The 3827-nt window shown below is 42.5% G+C and overlaps 1 annotated feature.

Moving 5' to 3' along the window:
• Positions 2644-3473: an enhancer, noted in NCBI's record as "NANOG-H3K27ac hESC enhancer chr4:56035898-56036727 (GRCh37/hg19 assembly coordinates)". NCBI's record gives its function as "activates a minimal SCP1, AML or CMV promoter by ChIP-STARR-seq in naive H9 embryonic stem cells {active_cell/tissue: H9 hESC(naive)}" and the evidence as "EXISTENCE:reporter gene assay evidence [ECO:0000049][PMID:30033119]".

Consider the following 3827-nt stretch of genomic DNA (forward strand, 5'->3'; position numbering starts at 1 on the left):
CAGTTCTGCTCTGATCTTAGTTATTTCTTGCCTTCTGCTACCTTTGAATTTATTTGCTTTTGATTCTCTAATTATTTCAGTTGTGATGTTAGGGTGTCAATTTTAGATCTTTCCTGCTTTCTCTTGTGGGCATTTAGTGCTATAAATTTCCCTCTACACACTGCTTTAAGTGTTTCCCAGAGATTCTGATTCGTTGTGTCTTTGTTCTCATTGGTTTCAAAGAATATCTTTATTTCTGCCTTAATTTCTTTATGTACCCAGTAGTCATTCAGGAGCAGCTTGTTCAGTTTCCATGTAGTTGAGCGGTTTTGAGTGAGTTTACTAATCCTGAGTTCTAATTTGATTGCACCATAGTCTGAGAGACAGTTTATTGTGATTTTTGTTCTTTTCCATTTGCTGAGGAGTATTTTACTACCAATTATGTGGTCAGTTTTAGAATAAGTGCAATGTGGTGCTGAGAAGAATGTATATTCTGTTGATTTGGGGTGGAGAGTTCTGTAGATAGATGTCTATTAGGTCCACTTGGTTCAGAGCTGAGCTCAAGTCCTGGATATCCTTGTTAACCTTCTGCCTCATTGATCTGTCTAATATTGACAATGGGGTGTTAAAGTATCCCATTATTATTGTGTGGGAGTTTAAGTCTCTTTGTAGGTCTCTACGGACTTGCTTTATGAATCTGGGTGCTCCTGTATTGGGTGCATATATATTTAGGATAGTTAGCTCTTCCTGGTGAATTGATCCCTTTACCATTATGTAGTGGCCTTCTTTGTCTCTTTTGATCTTTGTTGGTTTAAAGTCTGTTTTATCAGAGACTAGGATTGCAACCCCTGTTTTTTTTTTTTTTTTTTTTTTTTACCATCCATTTGCTTGGTAGATATTCCTCCATCCCTTTATTTTGAGCCTATGTGCATCTTTGCATGTGAGATGGGTGTCCTGAATATAGCATACTGATGGGTCTTGACTCTTTATCCAATTTGCCAGTCTGTGTCTTTTAATTGGGGCATTTAGCCCATTTACATTTAAGGTTAATATAGTTATGTTTGAATTTGATCCTGTCATTATGATTTTAGCTGGTTATTTTGCCCATTAATTGAGGTATTTCTTCACAGCGTCAATGCTGTTTACCATTTGGCATATTTTTGCAGTGGCTGGTACCGGTTGCTCCCTTCCATGTTTAGTGCTTCCTTCAGCAGCTCTTGTAGGGCAGGCCTGGTGGTGACAAAATCTCTCAGCATTTGCTTTTCTGTAAAGGATTTTATTTGTCCTTCACTTATGAAGCTTAGTTTAGCTGGATATGTGATTCAGAGTTGAAAATTCTTTTCTTTAAGAATGTCGAATATTGGCCCCCACTCTTTTCTGGCTTGTAGGGTTTCTGCCGAGAGATCTGCTGTTAGTCTGATGGGCTTCCCTTTGTGGATAACCCGACCTTTCTCTCTGGCCACCCTTAAAATTTTTTCCTGCCTTTCAACCTTGGTGAATCTGACAATTATGTGTGTTGGGGTTGCTCTTCTCGAGGAGTATCTTTGTGGTGTTCTCTGTATTTCCTGAATTTGAATGTTGGCCTGCCTTGCTAGCTTAGGGATGTTCTCCTGGATAATATCCTGAAGAGTGTTTTCTAACTTGTTTCCATTCTCCCCATCACTTTCTAGTACACCAATTAGATGTAGATTTGGTCTTTTCACATAGTCCCATATTTCTTGGAGGCTTTATTTCTTTTTACTCTTTTTTTCTCTGATCTTGTCTTCTCACTTTATTTCATTAATTTGATCTTCAATCACTGATATTCTTTCTTCCACTTGATCGAATCGACTATTGAAGCTTGTGCATGCGTCACGAAGTTCTTGTGCCACGGTTTTCAGCTCCATCAGGTCATTAAGGTCTTCTCTACACTGTTTATTCCAGTTCGTCATTCATGTAACATTTTTTCAAGGTTTTTAGCTTCCTTGCAATGGGTTAGAATATGCTCCTTTAGCTAGGAGAAGTTTTTTATTACCAACGTTCTGAAGCTTACTTCTGTCAACTCGTCAAACTCATTCTCTGTCCAGTTTTGTTCTCTTGCTGGCGAGGAGCTGTGATCTTTTGGAGGAGAAGAGGTGTTCTGTTTTTTGGAATTTTCAGCTTTTCTGCTCTAGTTTCTCCCCATCTTTGCGATTTTATCTACCTTTGGTCTTTGAGGTTGGTGACCTACAGGTGGGGTTTTGGTGTGGATGCCCTTTTTGTTGATGTTGATGCTATTCCTTTCTGTTTGTTAGTTTTCCTTCTAACAGTCAGACCTCTGAGCTGCAGGTCTGCTGGAATTTGCTGGAGGTCCATTCCAGACCCTATTTGCCTGGTTATCACCAGTGGAGGCTGCAGAACAGCAAATATTGCTGCCTGAACCTTCCTCTGGAAGGTTCTTCCCAGAAGGGAACCCACCTGTTTGAGATGTCTGTCGGCCCCTACTGGTAGGTGTTTCCCAGTCAGACTACATGGGGGTCAGGGACCCGCTTAAGGAGGCAGTGTGTCTGTTCTCAGAGCTCGGACACCATGCTGAGAGATCCACTGCTCTCTTCAGAGCTGTCAGACAGGGACTTTTAAGTCTGCAGAAGCTGTCTGCTCCCTTTTGTTCTACTATGCCCTGCCCCAGAGGTGGAATCTATAGAGGCGGTAGGCCTTGCTGAGCTGTGGTGGGCTCCGCCCAGTTCGTGCTTCCCAGCCTCTTTGTTTACGCTGTGAGCTACTCAAGATTCAGCAATGTCATATGCCCCTCCCCGCATCAAGCTGCAGTGTCACAGGTTGATCTCAGACTGCAGCGCTAGCAGTGAGGAAGGCTCCGTGGTCATGGTACTGCCGAGCCAGGCATGGGAGGGTATCTTCTCGTTGCTAAGACTGCAGATAAAGTGCAGTATGTGGTCAGGGGTGTACCGTTTCTCCAGGTACAGTCTGTTATGGCTTCCCTTGACTAGGAAAGGGAAATCCCCCAACCCCTTGTGCTTCCCAGGTGAGGTGACGCCCCACCCTGCTTCAGCTCACCTTCCGTGGGCTGCACCCACTGTCCAACCAGTCCCAGTGAGTCGGTACCTCAGCTGGAAATGCAGAAATCACCCATCTTCTGTGTCGATCTCGCTGGGAGCTGCAGACCAGAGCTGTTCCTATTTGGCCACCTTGGAAGTGACCCCGAGTTTTGGCTTTTCTAGGTATAGATGGAATCATACATACATAGACTTTTGTGTTTGAGTTCCATTGCACATAGTTTTTTTTGTTTTGTTTTTTGTTTTTTGTTTTTAAGATACAGTCTCACTGTGTTGCTCAAGCTGGAGTACAATGGCACGATCTTGGCTCACTGCAACCTCTTCCTCCTGGGTTCAAATGATTCTCGTGCCTCAGCCTCCTGAGTAGCTGGGAATATAGGTGAGTGCCACCACACCCAGCCACTGCACACAGCTTTTGAGTCATCGATGTCATTATGTGTATTTATGCTTTGTTCCTTTTAATTGCTGAGTAGTACGACATCACATGAATATACCACAATTTGTTTTTCCATTCATGAGTTCATAAACATTCGAGTTGTTTTCATTTTTTTGCTCTGAATATTCACGTACATGGCTTTTGTGTGGGCATGTTTTCATTTCTTTGGGATAAACAGCTAGAAGTGGGATTGGTGGGTCATATGTTAAGTGTCTGTTTAATTTTATAGTAAACTGCTAATGTTTTCCAAAGTGGCTGTACCATTTCACATTTGCGTATATCTCATTATAACTATTTTTAAAAAGGAAAAACTGGCCAGGCGCACTGGCTCATGCCTGTAATCCCAGCACTTTGGGAGGCTGAGGCAGGTGGATCACAAG

This window comes from Homo sapiens, chromosome 4 (assembly GCF_000001405.40).
Source record: "Homo sapiens chromosome 4, GRCh38.p14 Primary Assembly".
Lineage (NCBI taxonomy): Eukaryota > Metazoa > Chordata > Mammalia > Primates > Hominidae > Homo > Homo sapiens.